The 23,881-nt window shown below is 52.0% G+C and overlaps 1 protein-coding gene across 11 annotated transcripts in view; it reads right to left on the bottom strand.

Moving 5' to 3' along the window:
- CELF5 (CUGBP Elav-like family member 5) overlaps positions 1 to 23,881 on the bottom strand; it is a 72,416-nt gene that overhangs the window by 26,080 nt on the left and 22,455 nt on the right. For 8 of the 11 annotated variants that reach the window (XR_430147.2, XR_001753733.2, NR_033342.2 and 5 more), the window contains exon 2: positions 19,930 to 20,012. Coding sequence is in view for 5 of the 11 variants with exons in the window: in XM_006722832.2 (XP_006722895.1) it covers positions 19,930 to 20,012 (83 nt within the window). In the remaining 6 variants the exon portion in view is untranslated. Of the gene's footprint in view, positions 1 to 326; positions 421 to 19,929; positions 20,013 to 23,881 lie in introns of those variants that run through there. The other 3 variants (XR_007066936.1, XM_011528173.2, XM_006722836.3) reach the window with 2 other exon arrangements.

Raw genomic sequence — 23,881 nt, 5'->3', positions numbered from 1 at the left:
GAGGGAGGGAGGGAGGGGCGGCCGCGGGGAGAGAAGCTGCCCCCATCACCGAACCCTCCACCCCCACCTTGTTCTGGGGTTGGGGGGCTGGTGTACCTGCTCCCCATCTCCCCACCCGCCACAGAGCCTGGGACCTTCCGCCTCCTACTGGGAGGTCCCTTCCCCCCACCGCTGGGTCAGCTCGGGGAGAGGGTCGGCCGGGGAGAGGGGGTCCTGGTCTGGTCCAGTGAAGCCAGTTGGGTAGCCCCCTCCTCTCCAGGCCTCCACTCTAAAGCCGAGCTCCGCGGCCCGGCCGTCCCCACCCCGCGGCCCGGCGCCCGCCTTACCCACCGGCCTGGAGACGCGCGCCAGGCTGGCATCCACGTGCCGCCGCCCGCCCGCCCGGCCGCCCCGGGCGCACAGGCGCGCACCCGCCGCACTGCACGCTCGGGCCCCGCGCCGCGCGCCCTGCGCCCGACGCCCAGGCGGGCCCTGCCCGCGCTGCCCGCCCGAGCCGGGAGGAGGCGTGCCAGGCGGGGATCTGGGTCTCCCCACACCCCACCCCTCCTGTCGCCCCTGCCCGTCCATCTGGCTCTGCCCACCTCCTCCCGGCTCCCTCTCTCCATCTGTCCCACCGAGGTCTCTGCCGAGTGCACTCCCTCCCTCCTCCACCTTCTCTGGCTCCCCATGGCTGCGTCCCTTCCCTGACCCTTCCCTTCCTCTCCGTTTCTTCAGCAGTATTCCTGCTGTGCCCCATGACTCTCTGGTTCTGGGGCCCCCAAGGCTGAGTTCAATTTTGGAACTCCAGGAAGGACCCTTCACCAGCCTGGCGGAGCGGGAGACAGAGCCAGACACAAACTCTCCCATGGGGTCAGGGTTGGAGCTGGGAGAGCTGAGGGTAGAGGAGAGTGAAGAGCCAAAGGCTGTCCTGGGCCTGCACTGAAGATGGAAAATTCACTGTGAATTTTGGAGTAGGAGTCGGAGTTTGGAACGATTGGAAACAATTTTTCATGTTGGAGCAACACCCACATCTGCTGACCCGTTTAGTCTTAAGACAACTTAATGAGATGAAAACATGCATTTCCATTTTACAGATGGGCAAACCAAGACCAGAAAGAAGGGAGAGGTCGGGAGGCCAAGGAGGGAGGATCGTTTGAACCCAAGGAGTTTGAGGCCACAGTGAGCTATGATCGCTTCCACTGCACTCCGGCGTGGACGACAGAGCCAGACCCTATCTCCAAAAAAGGGAGAGGGGGAAGGGAGAGGTGTCCTAAGGACCTAGACATCCCTCCAACCAAGGGGTCCTGTGGGCTGGGGAGCGTTTTGGCACTGTGGGCATGGGTGGGCTTGCACTGGCTGGCCGAGAAACAGTCCTTTCTGTCTGACCTGTGTATGCTAGAGATGGGGAAACTGAGGCCCCTTGGGGGGTGGGGAATGGGAACGACTGCAGGAGGAGTGTCTTGCAGTGAGGCTGGGGCAGCCAAGGAGTCTCTGGGATCTGCAAAGTTGTGCCTTTGGAAGAGTAGAGGTTCAGAGGAGGGGCCGGGCGCGGTGGCTCACGCCTGTAACCCCAGCAGTTTGAGAGGTCGAGGCAGGTGGATCACCTGAGGTCAGGAGTTTGAGATCACCCTGGCCAACATGGTGAAACCCTGACTCTACTAAAAATACAAAAAAATTAGCTAGGTGCGGTAGTGCACGCCTGTAATCCCAGCTACTCGGGAGGCTGAGACAGGAGAATCACTTGAACCCGGGAGGCAGAGGGTGCAGTGAGCCAAGATTGTGCCATTGCACTCCAGCCAGGGCAATAAGAGTGATACTCCGTCTCAAAAAAGAGATTTAGTGGAAGCCCCAGATGGGTTATTTCCAAGTGGTGTGGAGAGAAGGAAGGAAGGTGGACCCCTTATCTGGGCTGCCCCAGACACCCATTGACCTTCCTCCCCTCCCACCTAGGCCCCAGTCCAGCCTCTCTGAAACACCCAGGCCAAGCCCCTCCCCTGCTCTAAACGCTGCTGTGGCTCCCTATTGCTCTCTGGGTAGAGGCTCAGCCCTTGATCCTGGCATTTGAGGGCCCTTTGCTGCTCAGCCCCAGTCATTCCTCCCCGCTCCTCCTGCCATGGCCCCCTGAACGTGGCTGGTGACAGAATGCCCCCCCGCTGCACCCCATCCTTACCCCTCAAACGCCACCTCCTCCCTGAAGTCTTCCGTGCTCTCTCTCCATCTGCTTCCATTGTCTTGCCCAGGCATTACCTTGATTACGACCCCTCCCCACTAAACACACACACTGCCCCTCACTTGGGGTAGCTCCGGTGGGAGGCAGGGGCACAAGGGCACTGGGCTTTGTGACCCTCCGTTCCCCACCAAGACCCTTAGCCCAGGGTCCACAAATGACAGCGGAAATGATACACGGGTTTGTAGACTCCTCGGAAAGCAAAACCCAGGCTCCATCCCCATCAGCCAAGAGCATGCCGGGCACAGTGCCTGGCACGGGAAGTCACCCAAGAGCTGGTGCCAGGCAGTGTCTTACAATTTGGTGTCTGCACAGGCCCAGAAAGATGACACGACGCCCCGAGTCTCGCAGCTTGACGTGCCCAGGATGGTTCATTCATTTATTCATTATTCATTCATTTATTCTGTGCCTGTGTGCCGAGCTCGGGTTCTGCGTTCAGCACCTGACAGGCCTCACCTTACAGAGTCCTCCAAACACTTCTAGGTGCCGGGTGTGGTGGCTCACACCTGTAACCCCAGCACTTTAGCACTTTGGGAGGCTGAGGCGGGCGGATCACCTGAGGTCAGGAGTTCGAGACCAGCCTGGCCAACACGGTAAAACCGCATCTCTACTAAAAATACAAAAAGTAGCTGGGCGTGGTGGCGGGCACCTGTAATCCCAGCTACTCGGGAGGCTGAGGCAGAAGAATTGCTTGAACCCAGGAGGCCGAGGTTGCAGTGAGCTGAGATCAAATCACTGCACTCCAGCCTGGGCGACAGAGCGAGACTCCATCTCAAAAAAGCAAAACAAAACAAAACAAAAATCTACTTCTAGGGCCCCATTTTATAGATGACAAAACTGAGGTCTGGGGAGGTGAAACTGTCACACTGGGCGTCTTAAGGCCCCTTGCCCATTCTCAGGTTTGGTTTCACTCTGGGCCAAGTCCTGCAGCATGGAGGTAAGCAGGGGAGGTAGGGGTCCTGCCAGGGGACCACCTCTGTGACCCTGCACAGAGAGGGGTTTCAGGAGGGCAGCATTACTCAAGGCAGCTGCCACGTCTGAGCAGGGAAGGACACGCAGACACACAAATTCATCTTTTTCCAGGGCAATCAGATGAGCAGCAGGGTGGCTGAGGGTGCTGGGATGTACCTCAGCCCCCAAGACTCTTGTAAAGAAAGAGACAGCAAAGTCCCAAAGGTCCTGGCCCCTCCCTCACTGGCCAAGGGACAGAAGCTGGACCCTCTGCCCCTCCCCGCACTGTCCCAGTGTTGGGGGGCTCTCTGTCTCCAGGAACCCCAGGCTCTGGCTTTGGGGATGGGAAGTGGTGTCCGGGGCTGTGACGGCCCAGCCAGCAGCTTCCCCTGGAATCTGAGCCTCAATTCCAGGGTCCCACGGTCCATTCCAGGATCTATTCTGGGATTCTGTTATTCAATTTCGGATCCTATTCCAGAATGCTGAGAGTTGATTAAACTACGTCCCCCATGGACACTGCTGTCACACTTGTGCGGGAACCGGAAACGGGGGGGTTGCCCTCTCTTCAGAAAGCAGCAGTATTGGGCCGGGCGGTTGGTGGGGGGGGCTCCCCTGTGCCAGGATGAGGGGGTAGAAGTGGAAAGTCAAGCAAATGACCTGGATCACTCCCCTCCTGGCTTATAAAGAGACAGAAGGGTCCACTCGTACTGTCCCCCAACACACACGCACACGCACACACACACACACACATGCACACACGCACACGCACACACAGAGGTGTTTTCTTGGGTGGGGGAAGCAGGGCACAGGAGAGATGGTGGCTGTCTCGGTGTCTCACGTGACCCAGCTCCTCCCCGACTCCCAGGCTGTGCTCGTGCGGGCGTGTGCAGGCACGTGAGCCGCCTGGGTGGGCTTTTCCAGCACAGGGCGAACCTCGTGCTTCAGCTCCCTGCAGAGGAGCTGTCAGCAGGAGCTCAGATGAGCGAGCGTGCTCAGACGTGGCTGGCAGGCCGGGGGGTCTTCCTCCCCAGCAGCCCCCATCCGCCCCTCACCAGCCTCCCATTCTCACTCCAAAAGGCTGGCTCCATTTCTGCAGGCATTCCTGGGAAAAGGTGGCACACGCCACAGGTCTCACCTTTGCCAAGCAGGTGGGTGTTAGCCACAGAGGCTGATGATCCTGGGGATACACTTGAGAGAAGTGTGACGTGTGTCCACCAAAGAACACCCTTGAGGATCTCTATTTGTCTCAACAGACATGTGAAACAACCCAAGTGTCCCCCAACAGGGGAATGGATGAGTAAATGACGTATTTGCATCCTGGAATACTAGACAGCAGTGAAAACGCCCAAGACGCTGATACACACAGCAACACACGTGATTCTTTCTTTCCTCTTCTTCTTCTTTTTTTTTTTTTGTTTGTACTGGGTCTCACTCTGTCACCCAGGCTGCAGTGCAGTGGTGCGATCATAGTGAGGTAGGAGGTGAGACTCGACTCAGGAGGCGGGGCTGAGATACGGGACCAAACTGAAGACTAGCTAAAACAGGGATGGAGTCGAAGCAGCTCTCCCTGAGACATGCCCACCGGGGTGCCATGTCCGTTTACCGTTGCCACAGCAACACCTAGAAGTTACCGCCTTTCCATGGCAATGACCCAATGACCCGAAACGTCCCACTCTTTTCTTAGAAATTTCTGCATAATCTGTCCCTTAATTTAAATGTAATTAAAAGTGGGGGTCGGGCGTGGTGCGCTCACGCCTGTAATTCCAGCACTTTCAGAGGTCAAGATGGGCAGATCACCTGAGGTCAGGAGTTCGAGACCAGCCTTACCAACATAGTGAAACCTCGTCTCTACTAAAAATACAAAAATTGGCTGGGCGTGGTGGTGGGCACCTGTAATCCCAGCTACTCGGGAGGCTGAGGCAAGAGAATCACTTGAACCCGGGAGACAGAGGTTGCAGTGAGCTGAGATCACGCCATCACACTCTGGCCTGGATGACAGAGTGAGACTCCATCTCAAAAAAAAGAAAGAAAAAAAGAAAAAGAAAAGAAAAGAAAGTAATCAAGAATGGCTACTGCATAGAGCAGCCGCCTGGGCTGCTTGTTGGCTATTTTTATGGTTACTCCTTGATCACATGCTAAACAAGGGATGGATGATTCACGAGCTTTCTGGGAAAGGGGTGGGCAGTTCCTGGAGCTGAAGGGTCCTCCACTTTTAGGATAATTTCCTGACATTGCCATGGCGTTTGTAAACTGTCATGGCGTGGGTGGGAGTGTCTCAAGATACTGCCTCAAAAAACAGCGAGACTCTGTCTCAAAAAATAAACAAAAAACAAAACCAAGTGGGTACAAATATACCTGCAGAACTGCCTCTGAACTTCTGCTCGGGGCTCACTGCCCATGGGGTGGCCCTGCTCTGCAGAGAGCAGGACCTCCACTGCCGTTTACACTGCTGTTGCAATAAAAGCTGCTAACATCACCAGCTCACCCTTGAATTCTTTCCCAGGTGAAGCCAAGAACCCTCCCAGGCTAAGCCCTTGTCTGCTTTGCATCAATAGCTCACTGCATCCTCAATCTCCTGGGCTCAAATGCTCCTCCCACCTCAGCCTCCTCAATAGCTAGGACGCCAGGCACAAGCCACCACACCTGGCTAGTTTTCTTATTTTTTTGTAGAGATGGGGTCTTGCTATGTTGCCCAGGCTGGTCTGGAACTCCTGGGCTCAAGCAATCCTCTGGTCTTGGCCTCCCAAAGCACCGGGATTACAGGTGTGAGCCACTGCGCCCGGCCTTCCATAGATAAATCTCGTCATCATTAAATTAAGTAAAACAGGCCAGGCCCAGTGGCTCGTGCCTGTAATCCCAGCACTTTGGGAGGCGGAGGCAGGCAGATCACTTGAGGTCAGAGTTTGAGACCAACCTGGCTAACATGATGAAACCCTATCTCTATTAAAAATACAAAAAATTAGCTGGGTGTGGTGGCAGACGCCTATAATCCCAGCTACTTGGGAGGCTCAGGCACAAGATTTTGAATCAGGGAGGCAGAGGTTGCAGTGAGCCAAGATCACGCTACTGCACTCTGGCCTGGGTGACAGAGTAAGAGTCTGTCTCAAAAAAGAAAAAAAAAAAAGGCCGGGTGTGGTGGCTCACGCCTGTAATCCCAGCACTTTGAGAGGCCGAGATGGGTGGATCACCAGGTCAGGAGCTCGAGACCATCCTGGCTAACATGGTGAAACCCCATCTCTACTAAAAATACAAAAACATTAGCCGGGCGTGGTGGCGGGTGCCTGTAGTCCCAGCTACTCGGGAGGCTGAGGCAGGAGAATAGCGTGAACCCGGGAGGCCAAGCTTGCAGTGAGCCGAGATTGCGCTACTGCACTCCAGCCTGGGTGACACAGCAAGACTCCGTCTCTTAAAAAAAAAAAAGAAAGAAAAGAAAAAGAAAAAGAAAAAACAGTGAAACAAGAAGGCACACATAAAAGATGACAGACTATTATCCCATTTATGTTAGGTTAAAAGGAAAACAGGCAAAAAAAAAAAAACACCTAGTGCTTTAGGGACATATTTATAAATGGCAAAACCATAGAGAATTTTGTTTTTTTTCAGATGGGGTGTCACTATGTTGCCCAGGCTGGTCGCAAGCTCCTGGGCTCAAGCGATCCTCCTGCCTCAGCCTACTGAGTAGCTGGAATTCCAAGGGCACACCACTGTATCCAGTAAAACCACGAAGAAAAGCAAAGGCGTGTTACCGACAACCAGATAGTGGCTCCTTCAGCAGAAAGAAAAGAGTTGGGCTTAGTAATACGGCATGGGGTGGATTCCAGAGGACCGGCTGGGTAGTGGTCATCAGGATGTTTGTTTTGTAAGTATTTATGTTTCATGCACTTTTCTGTAAGTGTGTGTACTACTTTTACTTATTTATTATTTATTTATTTATTTTCGAGACTGAGTCTCACTGTATCGCCCAGCCTGGAGTGCAGTGGTGCAATCTCGGCTCACTGCAGCCTCCATATCCCAGTTTCAAGCGATTCTCCTTCTTCAGCCTCCTGAGTAGCTGGAATCACAGGTGCCCACCACCACGCCCGGCTCATTTTTGTATTTTTAGTAGAGACGGGGTTTCACTATGTTGGCCAGGCTGGTCTTGAACTCCTGACCTCAGGTGATCCACCCGCCTCAGCCTCCCAAAGTGCGGGGATTACAGGCGTGAGCCACCGTGCCCGGCCGTGTGTAGTACTTTTAAATAGTTTAAGAAATATTTGTTTGTTTGTTTGTTTCTTTGTTTCTAGAAACAGTGTCTTGTTCTGTCGCCCAGGCTGGAGTGCAGTGGCACAATCTCGGCTCACTGCAACCTCCGTCTCCCGGGTTCAAGCGATTCGTGTGCCTCAGCCTCCTGAGTAGCTGTGATTACAGGCACGCGACACCATGCCTGGCTAATTTTTTGTATTTTGAGTAGAGACGGAGTTTCACCATGTTAATCAGCCTGGTCTCGATCTCCTGACCTTAGGTAATCCCACCTCTGCCTCCCAAAGTGCTGGGATTACAGGCATGAGCCACAGCACCCAGCCTGGTCTCCCCTCCCTTTTTTTTTTTTTTTTTTTTGAGACAGAATCTCGCTCTGTTGCCCAGGCTGGAGTGCAATGGCGTGATCTCGGCTCACCGCAAACTTCACCTCCTGAATCCAAGCCAATCTCATGCCTCAGCCTCCTGAGTAGCTAGGATTATAGGCGCCTGCCACCATGCCCAGCTAATTTTTTGTATGTTTAGTAGAGACGGAGTTTCACCATGTTGGCCAGACTGGTCTCGAACTCCTGACCTCAGGTGATCTGCCCACCTCGGTCTCCCAAAGTGCTGGGACCACAGGCGTGAGCCACAAATTTATCTATTTTTTTAATTTTTAAAAATTTTTTGAGACAGAGTCTCACTCTATCGCCCAGTCTGGAGTGCAATGGCGTGATCTCCACTCACTGCAACCTCCACCTCCTGAGTTCAAGTGATTCTCCTGTCTCAGCCTCCCAAGTAGCTGGGATGACAGGCATGTGCCACCATGCCCGGCTAATTTTTGTATTTTTAGTAGAGATGGATTTCATCATGTTGGCCAGGCTCCTGACCTTGGGTGATCCACCCCCCTCGGCCTCCCAAAGTGCTGGGATTACAGGAGTGAGCCACTGCGCCCGGCCCTTAAGTGTAAATTTAAATCTTGCCTTTCTCTTGCTTTAGATTCTAGACTCTAGATTTGTGCTGTCCGATATGATCCAGACCCTGGGTCTAGAATATTCTAGACCTATGCTGTCCATGATACAGTAATTGACCTCTCTGGTCTAGAACAGTCTACGTCCCATATGGTAGCTGGGCTCCAGTCTAGAACACTCTGGATCTGTGCTCTGTAACCCAGCAGCTGCCCCCGGTCTAGAACATGCTGGATTGCACTGTCCGATATTGTAGCCATTAGCCACATGTGGTGGTTTAAGTTTAAATTTCAAATTACTAAAACTAAGTAACATTAAAAATCAGTTTCTTGGCCGGGCGCGGTGGCTCATGCCTGTAATCCCAGCACTTTGGGAGGCCAAGATGGGCGGATCCCCTGAGGTCAGGAGTTTGAGACCAGCCTGGCCAACATGGAGAAATGCCATCTCTATTAAAAATACAAAAATTAGCTGGGCGTGCGTGCCTGTAATCCCAGCTACTCGGGAGACTGAGGCAGGAGAATGGCTTGAACCAAGGAGGCGGAGGTTGCAGTGAGCCGAGATCACGCCACTGCACGCCAGCCTGGGGTACAGAGAAAGACTCCGTCTCAAAAAAATAAAATAATAAAATAAATGAATTTTAAAAATCAGTTTCTGAGTACACTCGTCCCAATTCAAAGGCTCAACAGCCTCACGGAGCTAGTGATCAGCACACTGCACAGCACAGGCAGAGAACTTATCCACCACTGCAAATGTTCCATGGATAGTGTTGGCCTAGAACAGGCTTCAGCAAACTTCAGTCCATTCTGGGCCCCTCCTGTTTTTGTTTTTATTTTTGTCTGAAACAAAAATAAAACTCCACTGCCCAGGCTGGAGTACAGTGGTGCAATCCTAGCTCACTATAGCCTCAACCTCCTGGGCTCAAGTGATCCTCCTGTCTCAGCCTCCCAGGTGGTTGGGACTACAGGTACATGCCACCATGCCCAGGTAGTTTTTAAAATTTTTTGTAGAGATGGGATCTCTCTATGTTGCCCAAGTGGGTCTCAAACTCCTGGGCTCAAGCAATCCTCCTACCTCAGCCTCCCAAAACACTGGGATTACAGGTGTGAGAACCACCAGGCCTGGTCTTGAAAATTATTAATGAGCTATTTCACATCCAATCCAATTTTTCCATACTAAATGTTCAAAATCTGGTGTATATTGTTCTCTCACAGATTTGGACATTTAATTTCTTTTTTTTTTTCTGAGATGGAGTCTTGCTCTGTCGCCCATGCTGGAGTACAGTGGTGCAATCTCGGCTCACTGCAACCTTCACCTCCCAGGTTCAAGCAATTCTCCTGCCTCAGCCTCCTGAATAGCTGGGATTACAGGCATGCACCACCATGCCCAGCTAATTTTTGTATTTTTAGTAGACAAGGGGTTTCATTATGTTGGCCAGACTGGTCTTGAACTCCTGACCTCATGATCCCCCTGCCTCGGCCTTCTAAAGTGCTAGGATTACAGGCATGAACCACTGCACCCGACCTGGACATTTAATTTCTATCAGCAACCCTTGATCTGTAGGTGCATTTTGTAAAACTGATGAAAAAGTAGAGTCATGGCCAGGCACAGTGACTCACACCTGTAGTCCCAACACTTGGGAGGCTGAGGCAGGAGGATTGCTTGAGCCCCAGAATTTGAGACCAGCCTGGGCAATGTAGCAAGACCTTATCTCTACAAAAAAATTAAAAATTAGCCAGGTGGCCAGGCGCAGTGGCTCACACCTGTAATCCCAGCACTTTGGGAGGCCGAGGCGGGCAGATCACGAGGTCAGGAGATCGAGACCATCCTGACTAACACGGTGAAACCCCGTCTGTACTAAAAATACAAAAAATTAGCCGGTCATGGTGGCGGGCGCCTGTAGTCCCAGCTACTAGGGAGGCTGAGGCAGGAGAATGGCGTGAACCTGGGAGGCGGAGCTTGCAGTGAGCCAAGATCACGCCACTGCACTCCAGCCTGGGCGACAGCGTGAGACTCTGTCTCAAAAAAAAAAAAAAAAAAATTAGCCAGGTGTGGTGGCACACACCTGTGGTCCCAGCTTCTTCAGAAGCTGAGGCAGGAGAATTGCTTGAACCTGGGAGGTGAAGGTTGCAGTGAGCCATGATCTTGCCACTGCACTCCAGCCTGGGCAACAGAGCAAGACCCTATGTCTAAAAATAAAATAAAATAAAATACATACATATATTTAGCCAGTCTTCGGTGGCTTACGCCTGTAATCCCAGCATTTTGGGAGGCTGAGGCAGGGGGATCATTTGAGGTAGGGAGGATCACCTGAGGTCAGGAATTCGAGACCAGCCTGGCCAACATGGCGAAACCCCATCTCTACTAAAAACACAAAAATTAGCTGGGCGTGGTGGTGGGTGCCCATGATCCCAGCTACTTGGGAGGCTGAGGCAAGAGAATTGCTTGAACCCGGGACGTGGAGGTTGCAGTGAGCCAAGATCACGCCCCTGCACTCCGGCCTGGGTGATGGAGACAGACTCTGTCTCAATAAATAAAAAAAGAAAAATAGAAATACATAGACTGCATGTTAAAATGGTAAGAATTGGGATATATTGGGTTCAAATGAAATATATTATTAAAATTAATGTCACCTGTTTCTTTTTTACTTTTTAAATATTGCTCCTGGAACATGTTAAATTATATATGTGGCTCACATTCTCTTTCTATTAGATAACACTCTTCCAGAACATTACTTGCTCCTTATCTTCCTAGGCAAGGTCTCTCCCACCCGGGCACTGTGGACATTGGGGCCGGATCGTTCTCTGGAGTCGGGCCATCCTGGGCACTGCAGGGTGCTGAGTAGCGTCCCTGGCCTCCACCCACTCCATGCCAGCAGCACCCCCACGTCGTGACAACCGTAAATGTTCCCAGACATTGCTCAGTGTCTCCTGGGGGCTGGATCACCCCTGATTGAGACCCCCTCCCCAGGTTAGGGGATTCCACAGACCCCCAAGAGACTATGTCCCATGACCCGCTTCCCTGCTGAGGTCCCAGGAGGCTGCACACATTAAAATCCGCACCCTGAGTGGGGAGGGAGACAGGAGGTGAGTCCCAGGAGCTGGGGTCCTCCTGGTTTCTACTGTCTACCCCATCGGGAGCTTATTCTGGTGTCTGATGTGAGCAGGGAGAGGATTCAACTTTTTCCCCAAAGTAATGAACACAGGATCTCTCCCCCGGGCACTGTGGACATTGGGGTTGAATTGCTTTCTGGGGTGGGGCCGTCCTGGGCACTGCAGGGTGCTGAGTAGCGTCCCTGGCCTCCACCTACTCCATGCCAGGTGCATCTCCTCCCCAAGTCGTGACAACCACAAATGTCCACAGACAGCAGCCAGTGTCCTGGGGCGGGGGCAGGATCACCCTGGTTGAGACCCCTCCTTACCTAACCTGACCCCCTTCATTAGCTGACAGAGGCTCCCATGAGCTGCCACTCAACAGCACACTGGGCATGTTCTGGCCTCCAAATCTTGGTAAGTTTTGTCCCCACTCACCCCCATCTCCACCTCCATCTGTGAAAATCCTTCCATCTCTCGACTCATCCCAAACATTCCCTCCTTCAAGAAGCCACCCTGTCCACCCTTCACTAAATCGTCCACGCAGGCTGCCTGCTTCTCCCTCAGGGTGCTGTCCCTGGGTCACCCTGACATTTGGTCATTGGTTCTGTGGTCACCCCTGGAGTGAGTTAGATGGTGGCTCCCCAAAAGATAAATCCAGGCTAAGCACAGTGGCTCACGTCTGTAATCTCAGCGCTTTGGGAGGCCGAGGCGGGAGGATCGCTTGAGCCCAGGAGTTCAAGACCAGTCTGGGCAACATAGCAAGACTCCATCTCTGCAAAAAATAAAAAACTAGCCAGGCGTGGTGGCATGTGCCTGTAGTCCCAGCTACTCAGGAGGCTGAGGCAGGAGGATTGCTTCAGCCTAGGAGGTCAAGGCTGTAAAAAGCTATGATTGCAACACTGCACTCCAGCCTGGGCGACAGAGCAAGACCCTGTCTCTAAAAAATAAAAATAAAAAATATGTATATATATATATCCCCAAATCCTAGCCCTGGGGATCTGTGGATATGCCCTTATTTAGAAAAGAGGTCTTTTGCAGATGTAATTAAATGAAGGATCTTGAGATAAAATTATCCTGGATGTAGGCTGAGCCCTAAATCCAATGAGAAGTGTCCTTCTAAGAGAAAAGCAAAGGGACACAGACACAGGCCGGGCGCAGTGGCTCATGCCTGTAATCCCAGCACTTTGGGAGGCCAAGGCGGGAGGATTGCTTGAGGTCAGGAGTTCGAGACCAACCTGGGCAACATAGGAAAACCACTGTCTCTACAAAAAAAAAAATTAAATCAAAAATTTAAAATTTAAAAATCACAGGGCTGGGCGTGGTGGCTCATGCCTGTAATCCCAGCATATTGGGAGGCCAAGGTGGGAGGATCACCTGAGGTCAGGAGTTGGAGACCAGTCTGGCCAACATGGTGAAACGCCATCTCTACTAAAAATACAAAAATTATCCTGGCTTGGTGGCAGGCACCTGTAATTCCAGGTTGGGAGGCCGAGTCAGGAGAATTGCTTGAACCCGGGAGGTGGAGGCCACAGTGAGCACAGATCGTGCCATTGCACTCCAGCATGGAAAACAAGAGCAAAACTCTGTCAAAAAAAAAAAAATCAGCCAGGTATGGTGGTGTGCACCTGTGGTCCTAGCTACCTGGGAGGCTGAGGTGGGAGGTCAAAGCTGCAGTGAGCTATGATCGCACCACTGCATTCCAGCCTGGGCAACAGAGTGAGATTCTGTCTCAAATAAATAAATAAATAAATAAATAAATAAATAAATAAATAAATAAATAAAAAAAAATGGAGGCTGGGCATGGTGGCTCATGCCTGTAATCCCAGCACTTTGGGAGTCCGAGGCAGGCGGATCATCTGAGCTCGGGAGTTCGAGACCAGCCTGACCAACATGGGGAAACCCCGTCTCTACTAAAAATACAAAAATTAGCCGGGCATGGTGGTGCATGCCTGTAATCCCAGCTACTCGGGAGGCTGAGGCAGGAGAATCGCTTGAACCCGGGAGGCAGAGGTTGCAGTGAGCCGAGATTGCACCACTGCACTCCAGCCTGGGCAACAAGAGTGAAACTCGGTCTCAAAAAAAATAATAATAATAAATAATAATAATAAAAGTGGAAACAAACAAACCAGATCGTTCCTCTGGTTGCTACTGTCCCCTGGTCCCAGTCACCCTTGGAACAAAATTCAAGCTGCTCACTGTGGCGGTCCTGTCTCTGCTTCCTCTTCCCCCTCTCCTCCACCTACTCTCCCCCTCACTCCCCGTCACTCACTCTTCTTCACTCCTCTGACCTCAGTGGTCCTCACATGCTTCGGGCATGGTCCAGCCTCAGGGCCTTTGCACTGGCCGTTCCCTCTGCCAGAAACGCCCTTCCTGCAGAGAGTGCACGGCTTCCTCCTCTCCAGGCCATCTCCTCAGAGAGGCCTTCCCTGACCACCCTGTCTAAATGGAACTCCCAGCCAGGCACAATCTGGTAGCTCACGCTTGTAATCCCAGCACTTTGGGAGGCTGAGGTGGGAGGCTCGCTTGATCCCAGGAGTTCGGGACGGGCCTGGGCTACATAGTGAGACCCCCATCTCTGCAAAAAGTTTAAAAATTAGTGGGACGTACCATGAGCTATGATCGTGCTATGAGCTATGATTGTGCCACTGCACTCCAACCTGGGCGACACAGCAAAACTTTGTCTCAGAAAAAAAATAATAAGGCCAGGTGCAGTGGCTGACGCCTGTAATCCCAGCACTTTAGGAGGCCGAGGCTGGTGGATCACTTGAGGTCAGGAGTTTGAGACCAGCCTGGTCAACATGGTGAAACCCCATCTCTACTAAAAATACAGAAACTAGCATGGCACGGTGGCACATGCCTGTAATCCAGCTACTCGGGAGGCTGAGGCAGGAGAATCGCTTGAACCCAGGAGGCGGAGGTTGCAGTGAGCCGAGATCGCGCCACTGCACTCCAGCCTGGGCGACAGAGTTAGGCTCCGTCTCAAAAAAAAATTAATAATAATAATAATAATAATAATAATAATAATAATAATAAATGAAACCTCCGTCCTGAGTCATTGCTCTGAAAGTCACCCCATTTCTTGTCTCAATGTTGTTCTCACTGGCTTGCTTATTTTCTGTTTGTACTGTATCCTCATTCTGTCATAAGTCAGATGCTCAGTAAATGCTGAATGAACAAAGGGGTTTGGAGGACTCAGCCCAGGGACTGCCCTTGAGGGGCTCCCAATCTGGGGGAGTCAGAGCCAGACACAGACACCCCCAGCCCTGAGAGGTCAGGGATGAGCAGAAGGAGGAGACGGCCAGCTGTTACCTTGAAAGTAAGGTAGAAATTCTCCAGGCGGGAGAGGCAGTTACCCACGAATACTTTAGGGGTGGGAACCCTGGCTGGGTCGTCAGTGTCTGGGGAGTGAGAAATTTTTAGAAACTAAAGATGGCCAAGGACCAGAATATAAAGGCTTAACACCTCCAAAAATAGTATCCACTTCGCACCTTTCCTTTTTTTTTGAGACAGGGTCTTGTTCTGTCACCCAGGCTGCAGTACAGAGGCGTGATCTTGGCTCACTGCAACCTCTGCCTCCTGGGTTCAAGTGATTCTCCTGCCTCAGCCTCCCGAGTAGCTGGGATTACAGACCCCTGCCACCACGCCCAGCTAATTTTTGTACTTTGAGCAGAGATGGGGTTTCACCATGTTGGCCAGGCTGGTCTCGAACTCCTGACCTCAGATGATCTGCTCGCCTCGGCCTCCCAAAGTGCTGGGATTACAGGCATGAGCCACCGCGCCTGACCCACCTTCACGTCTTTAAATCTTCTCTGCAGCCTGTTAGGTGGAGAAAGTGTTACCCATATTGGAGATAAAGAAAACTGAGGTTTGAGGGGAAAGATGCTTGTTGAAGATTACACAGCTTGGGAGAGGGGAAGCTAAGGTTTGAACTCAGGAGAACACAGAGGTGGAAGCAGAGAGAAGGCAACAAATGAGAGGGCAGGATGTGGGGGCCATGAGCTCTGGGGGCGAGGAGGAGGGAGGAGAAGAGGCTGATGCCCAGGGACTGAGGGAGAGAAACTGGTTCAAAAAAAGCAGTCGGGGGCAGTAGGCTCAATGGCTTACGCCTGTAATCCTAGCACTTTGGGAGGCCGAGGCAGGTGGATCACTTGAGGTCAGGAGTTCAAAACCAGCCTAGTCAATATGGTGAAACCCCGACTCTACTAAAAATATAAAAATTAGCCAGCGTGGTGGCTCATGCCTGTAATCCCAGCTACTCAGGAGGCTGAGGCAGGAGAATCACTTGAACCCGCGAGGCAGAAGTTGCAGTGAGCTGAGATCAAGCCACTGCACTCCAGCCTGGGTGACAGAGTGAGACTCTGTCTCAAAAAAAATTGGGGGGTGTGCCATAGCCAGTTTGAGCCCCATTGGGTCTAGGGGGATGGGGACTGGGGGACGGCCACAGGAGTCACTCAGGAGGTGACCAGTCACAGAACTGATGATGGGAGTTTAGCATAGCGTGGGGTAAATAGTAGGTGCTTGATAAAAATTTGGTGGATAGATGGAAAGAAGTGTAGATGGGTGAATGGATGTGTGGGTGGATGGGAGGATAGATAGGTGGATGGATGTATACATGAATTAATAGATGGATGGGTGGAAGAGTGAGTGATGAATGAATGGATGGATGGAAGGGTAGATGGATGGACAGATGAATGGATAGACAAGTGGGTGGATGAGTAATGGATAGATGGATGGATGAATGGATGGATGGATGGGTGGATGGATGGATGGATAAAAGGGCAAATGGGTGAACAGATGGATGGATAGATGAGTGGGTGGATAGATGAGTGAGTGACTCAATGGATGAATGGTAGATGGATGGATGTGTGGGTGAATGGATGGGTGTGTGGCTGGATGGGAGAATGGAGGGATGCATAATAGATGTGTGGGTGGGTGGGTAGGTAATGAGTAGATGGGTGAATGAATGCATGGATGGATGGATGGATGGATGAATTGATGGGTGGATGGGTGGATGAATGGATAGAAACATGGATCAGTGTGTGAATGGATGGATGAAAGGGTAAATCAGTGGATGGATGGATAGATGGGTGGGTGGATGGATAGATGGATGGATGGATGGATGCGTAGATGGATGGACGTGTGGCTGGATGAGAGGATGGGTGGATGATGGATGTGTGGGTGGGTAGGTGGATGAGTAGATGGATGAATGAATGAATGGATAGGCAGGTAGATGGGTGACAGGTAGGCAGGCATGTAGACACATGGGCAGATGGGTGATGGGTGGATGGAAAGGTGCATGGATGGATGGAAGCTATGAATTTATGGGCTGACCCAGGGAGAGTAGGCATGGAGAGAAGGACAGAGTCCCCTCAAGATGGATGCAGAGAAGGAGCTGCTGGTGATTGCGGCATCTCTTCATCTCAAAGTGGACTCAGATCCAGGACACCAGCCTGGCAAGAAGGGCATGAGGTTTCGTGGCTCTTGGTCCTTCCACCCTCTTCCATCTTCCCTCCTGGCTGCCAACAGAGTGCAGAGCTCAGTTTTGGCCCCCAACAGGAAAAGAACCAGTTCCAAGGTCCCTAAGGCCTCAGACAGTGGAATAGAGACTGGGTTTGTGTCTCAGTTACCTTCATCAGGGAAATGAGGACAAAGGAATGGGGGAGAAGTGCTTAGCTGGGAGGACTCCTTAGAAGTGTTGGTAAATCTCCATCTATGTACAGATTTCTCTGGACAGAAGGACCAGAGCTTCCCCCAGGACCTGATGCCAAGCAAAAACATGGTTCACTAAACTTAGATGAATTAGGCAACAGCACAGGGTCTGGAGTCAGACTATGAAGGTCCAAATCCCCACTCTGCAGCTTGCAGGCTGCCTAACCTTGGACAAGTCCAGTATTGAGCTGGTTTGTTCCTTGAGTTCCTCCCTCCACCTTTGCCCCCCCTGCTCTGCACCCCTGGGCTTCTGGTGCTAGAATGTGGTGGAAATGATGGTGTGTAATTCCGAGGCTAGGGCTTAAAGGGGACTGTGGCTTCCTCCTTGATCACTCTTTGGTTACGTGTGCTGGGGGAAGATGCCATGTTGTAAGGAAGCTCAAGCAGCACTGTGGAGAAGCCCACGTGGTGAGAAACTGAGGCCTCCTGAACAGTCACTAGAGGGAGCCAGCTTGGAAGCAGATTCCTCAACCACAAACTCCTGCTGATATCTTGACTGTAACCTCCCTGAGCCAGGATCATGCAGCAAACTCAGTCCCAAATTCCTGACCCCTGGTAGCTGTGAAATAACAAGTGCTTATTGTTTGAAGTCTTTATTTTGGGGATAATTTGTTATGCAGCAATAAATAACTAATATGGTCCCTAGAACTCTGCTGTGCCCCTGGGCACTAATCTGTATGGACTGACCTGCCCTCCAGCTTCTGGTTGGTTTGATTTTTTGTTCGGTTGTGGGATTTCTTTCTTTCTTTTTTTTTTTAATGTACTTTTTTAGCTTCTGGTTGGTTTGGGTAGGCACCAGCAGAAGGTCCAAGATGAACAGTGAATTCAGGGAATTTACCGCAGACTCTAGATCACTTTTGCACATGCTGTTCCTTCTGCCTGGAGTGCCCTTCCATGCCATCTTTCAGGTTTTTTCTCAAATGTCACATCCTCAGTGAAGCCCTCCACTGAGCACCTTCTCTATAGATTGCTAGCCCACCCTGCCCTGTTATTCTCTTCCAGTGCTGAAGATCAGAGAGGTTAAGTCACTGGCTTACTGTCACACAGCAAGGATGGAGCTGAGCAACGAGCCCACAGATGTGGCTGCCAGACCCCACACTCTAACTTGCATCACATCACACCCAAAAGAGGGGCTCTCTATTCTTCAAGACCAAGCAGAGGCCACCCCCAGGCCCAGAACCTTCCAATGCTCATGGAGAATCAAGTCAAACTCATGCCATGACCTCGGGTCCCTGGAAGGCGCACGTCAGATTTCCTACAGTCAGCCAAGCACGAAGGCTACGAATGCCCTGATGTCCCTGGAGGCTGAAAGGTCCCTGAGAATTCCGGAGGGAAGGGTGAGCTCCCTGCCCCAGAGCTCACAAGGTGGGGCGCCGTGGCTCACTGTGGTTCCTTCAGTCTCCATCAAGAGGCATGGCCTGGGGACCCGGATTGACTGGCTCAGGGAGACCACTCATCCTTCACTGGGGGCAGGGGCCTCCTGCCCACCCAAAGAGGACAAAGCTGACCAGGAGAGACTCATCAGGCTGGGTGTGCTGGCTCACACCTGTAATCCCAGCACTTTGGGAGGCCGAAGCAGGAGGAACGCTTGAGCCAGGAGTTCAGGATCAGCCCGGGCAATATAATGAGACCCCGTCTCTACAAAAATTAAAAAATTAGCCACGTGTGATGGCATGCACCTATAGTCCCAGCTACTCAGGAGGCCGAGGTAGGAGGATCACTTGACCCCAGGAGGTGGAGGCTGCAGTGAGCCATTGTACTCCAGCCTGGGTAACAGAGCAAGACCCTGTCTCAAAAAATAAAAATAAGGAGAGACTCATCAGAGACAGCACCCAGGCCAGCCTCCTCTGCAGACAGAAATTGTGATGAAGAAGCCCCTGTGTTGGCCGGGCCTGGTGGCTCGCACCTATAATCCCAGCACTTTGGGAGGCCGAGGTGTGCAGATCACTTGAGGTCAAGAGTTTGAGACCAGCCTGGCCAATATGGCAAAACCCCGTCTCTACTAAAAATACAAAAATTAGCCAGGCATGGTGGTGCACGCCTGTAATCCCAGCTACTTGGGAGGCTGAGGCAGGAGAATCACTTGAACCTGGGAGGCGGAGGTTGCAGTGAACCGAGATCATGACACTGCACTCCAGCGTGGGTGACAAAGCGAGACTCCATCTCAACAACAACAACAACAACAAAAAAAAAAAAAAAAAAAAAAGAAGCCCTTGTGTTAAGGAACTGTGGCTCCGTTTGCACCATAAAGACAAGCGAGGAAAATCATTTTCCTTTTTATAGTGAGAAGCAAGCATGGTCTATGCTTCTCCCCATGGTCCACACAGCCTTCAGCAACCAGCCCTGTCACCTCCCCTGCCCTTCCCGCCTTTCTTTCTCCACCTCCTCACTCTGTTCCAGCCACACGGGCCTCCTCCCTGTTCCTCCAACACGTCAGGCATGGTCCTCCCCCGGGCCTTGGCACATGCTGTGCCCTCTGCCTGCTAATGCTTCCTTATCCTTCAGGTCTCAACCCAAAGACAACGACACACTGGGCCAGGTGCCCTTGTGCAGTATACAACCTGCACAACCACACACAACCACTCTGGTATGAAATATAGAGCACGGCACACAGTAGGCACTCAATAAATGCACACTATTATGATGATTTCTATACCTCTGCTCCTCATACCTCTTTCTGAGTCCCGAGACACACAGAATTCACAGCCAATCTCAGGAAGAGCCTTGGCTCCCACCCCAGGCTGAGAGCCATCCCCTGTCCCCTCCTCCCCAGACACCACACAGGACTCACTCCGGGCAAGGTCTTCTGCTCGTGCAGGGCAGTCTGAGCTTTGATGGCGGAATCCCTGGCACAGTAGGTGAGGAAGGCACAGCCTGGAAGGGAGAGAAACGGGGGTGTTAAGAGAGCACGGGCACACCCATGGTCACAGCAGCACCACCCACAGTGGCCACTAGGTGGAAGCAACCCAAGCTTCCATCCACAGATGCATAGATCTACACAACCTGGTGCATCCACGCAACGGAATATTATTCAGCCAAGAAAAGGAAGGAAATTCTGACACAGGCTGCAACATGGATGCACCTTGAGAATGTCACTCTCAGTGAAATAAGCCAGACACAGAAGGACAAATCCTGTGTGATTCCACTCCTAGGAGGTCCCTAGAGTCATCAGATTCACACAGACAGAAAGTAAAATGGGGAGGTGCCAGGGGCTGGGGAGGGGAATGAGGACTGAGTGTATCATGGGGACAGAGTTTCAGTTTGGGAAGATGAGAAAGTTCTGGAGATGATGGTGGTGATGGTTGCACAACCGTGTGAATATGCTTAATACCACTGAGCTGTGCAATTTTTATTTTTATTTATTTATTTTGAGACGGAGTCTGGCTCTGTCACCCAGGCTGGAGTGCAGTGGCGCGATCTCGGCTCACTGCAAGCTCTGCCTCCCGGGTTCACGTCATTCTCCTGCCTCAGCCTCCCGAGTAGCTGGGACTACAGGCGCCCGCCACCATGCTTGGCTAATTTTTTTGTATTTTTAGTAGAGGCGGGGTTTCACCGTGTTAGCCAGGATGGTCTCGATCTCCTGACCTCGTGATCTGCCCGCCTCGGCCTCCCGAAGTGCTGGGATTACAGGCGTGAGCCACCGCACCCGGCCTGAACCATGCATTTAAAATGGTTAAGACGGTACATTTGAAGTTGTGTATATCTTATTACAATCTCAAAAAATAAAAAGAGAAGAGGATGCTGAAGCCACCATGTTTTGGGAGGGGACAGTCGAAGTGGCTCAGTGTTTTCCACCCGTTCCACCCCTGCACACACATACACCCCCGCAAAGGGTGAGACCAGGAAGAGGGAGAGGAGGTCCAGCCATTAACAAAGTCAGTGGCTGAGCTCAGAAAAGAGATGCTGAGAGCCCTGGACAAGGTGGGGTGAGGGGAGTGGGCAGAGGGGCTGCCCAGCGGGGAGGATGGGGAGGGCACTAGTGGTCCCAGAAAGATGGAAGAAGGCCTGGCCCTGGGATAGGGAGCAGTGGGCTCTGCCACTGACCAGCAGTGTAGCCTTGGATCATGCGCTCCCCCTCTCTGGGCCTCACCTTCCCCTATCAGAGGGAGAGGGGATGGTCTGAGAGGACCACAAGTTGGACCAGCCAATGGATGGGGGTGGAGCTTGAGAGGGTGTGGCATGGTGGCAGAAATCAGGACCAATCAGGAGAGGTGAGGGGCGGGGCCAGCCCCGGAGTGGCCCAGAGTGAGGCTGGGATTGGATGACATTAGGGATGGGAGGCAAGGGGCGGGGCCAGCCCATAGAGTGGCCCAGAGTGAGGCTGTGATTGGGCAACATTAGGGATCGGAGGGTGGGAAGCGAGGGGCGGGGCCAGCCCTCTGGTGGCCCAGAGTGAGGCTGTGATTGGGCGACGTTAGGGGTGGGAGACCAGAGACGTTGACAGAGACAGAGACAGGAGACAAGCAAGTCAAGAGAACCCGCCCTCGCCCTGAAAGCCTAATTAGATCAAAAGTATTTTGAAAGACGTTTCCCCAAGGTGGGGTAGGGATTGCACACAGGAGGTCAGGGGTCCTGGGATGGATACAGGGGACTGAGTGGTCCTGTCTGGGGACCTGTGAAATGAGACCATCGTGGGCTGCTCCGATGTTGTCAAACCCTCGGTTCCCCCTCAAACCCCGCCCCCTATGGTCCCTGGTCTCCCAGGGACACGCTGTACGGAGCTCCACGGTGTCCACTTCTCCAGGCAGGAGCTAATTAAAGTGGCCACCTGCTGGTCGCTCCCGCCAGCTGGGCTGTGTGGTGGGGAGGGGGTAGGGAATCCGAGGGAACCCACCCCAGGTCCAAAAAGCCCCCTGGAACCCTGGGGGTACCAGGCAGAGCTGACAACAGTTTCCAGCATTAAGAAAAGAAAGAAAAGAAAAGAAAAGAAAAGAAAGAAAGAAAGAAAGAAAGGAAGGAAGGAAGGAAGGAAGGAAGGAAGGAAGGAAGGAAGGAAGGAAGGAAGAAAGAAAGAAAAAAGTTTGTAGTAGGAATGTAAAATGGTACGGCTGCTGCAGAAAACAGTTTGACAGTTCCTCCAGAAACGAAACACAAAATTACCACGGAAGCCAGCAATTCCACGTCTGGGTGTATATTCAGAAGAATTGAAAGCAGGGACTCGAACAGAGATATTTGTATAACAATGTTGACAGCAGTAAGATTCACAGTGGCCGGAAGGCGGAAGCAACCCAGGCGTCCATTCACAGATGAAGGGATCGATACAATACGGTCGACCCACACAGTGGAATATTATCCAGCCACAAAAAGGAAGGAAATTCTGATACCTGACACAACGTGGGTGAACCTTGAGAACACCATGCTCGGTGAAATAAGCCAGACACAAAACGACAGACAGAGGTTTCATAGGAGGACCACAGAGCCATCAGATTCACAGAGATGGAAATCAGGATGGGGGGTGCCAGGGGCTGGGGAGGGGGATGGGGAGTGAGTGTTTCACAGGGATACAGTTTCAGTTTGGGAAGATGAGAACGTTCTGGAGGCCAGGCAAGGTGACTCTCGCCTGTCATCCCAGCACTTTAGGAGGCCAAGGTGGGAGGATCACTTGAGCCCAGGAGCTGGAGGCTGCAGTGAGCTATGATAGCACCACTGCAATCCAGCCTAGGCAACAGAGTGAGACCCTGTCTCTAAAATAAAGTAAAATAAAAGTTCTGAAGATCAGATAGTGGTGATGATTGCAGAACAATATGAATGTACTTAATGCCACTGAACTCTATGCTTAAAAATGGTTAAGATGGGCCGGGTGCGGTGGTGCACACCTGTAATCCCAGCACTTTGGGAGGCAGAGGCCGGTGGATCATCTGAGGTCAGGAGTTCAAGACCAGCCTGGCCCAAAAGGCGAAACTCCATCTTTACTAAAAATACAAAAAAAATTAGCCAGGTGTGGTGGTGGGAACCTGCTATTCTAGCTACTCGGGAGGCTGAGTCATGAGAATCGTTTGAACCCGGGCGGCAGAGTTTGCAATGAGCCAAGATCACGCCACTGCACTCCAGCCTGGGCAACAGAGCAAAGTGCTTTCTCAATTAAAAAAAAATTTTTTAACGGTACATTTCATATTATGCATATATCACCACAATAAACATTGTAATTGGGATATATTACCAATGTACCCCTCTGAAAAGTGCAGAACACGTAAGCGTGCAATGTAACAAATGATTATAAATCCATACAACCATCTCTATGTCTCGACCCAAGACAACTATGTCACACTATGTCTTGGGTCGAGACATAGAAAGAGAGACCGGGCGCAGTGGCTCATGCCTGTAATCCCAGCACTTTGGGAGGCTGAGGCGGGAGGATCACTTGAGTTCACAATTTCAAGACCAGCCTGGGCAACATGGCGAAAACCCATCTCTATAAAAAATACAAAAATTAGGCCGGGCGTGATGGCTCACGCCTGTAATCCCAGCACTTTGGGAGGCCAAGGCAGGTGGATCACGAGGTCAGGAGATCGAGACCATCCTGGCTAACACGGTGAAACCCTATCTCTACTAAAAATACAAAAAATTAGTCGGGCGTGGTGGCAGGGGCCTGTAGTCCCAGCTACTCGGGAGGCCAAGGCAGGAGGATCGCTTGAGCCCAGGGTGTGGAGGTTGCAGTGAGCTGTGATTGTGCCACTGCACTCCAGCCTGGGTGACACAGTCAGACTGTCTCAACAACAAAAGTAAAAAGTGGCAGCCACCAT

The sequence above is a fragment of the Homo sapiens genome, chromosome 19 (genome assembly GCF_000001405.40).
Source record: "Homo sapiens chromosome 19, GRCh38.p14 Primary Assembly".
Taxonomy (NCBI): Eukaryota; Metazoa; Chordata; class Mammalia; order Primates; family Hominidae; genus Homo; species Homo sapiens.
The sequence above is the reverse complement of the archived record's forward strand: the minus strand, read 5'-3'. Positions and strand labels throughout refer to the sequence as shown.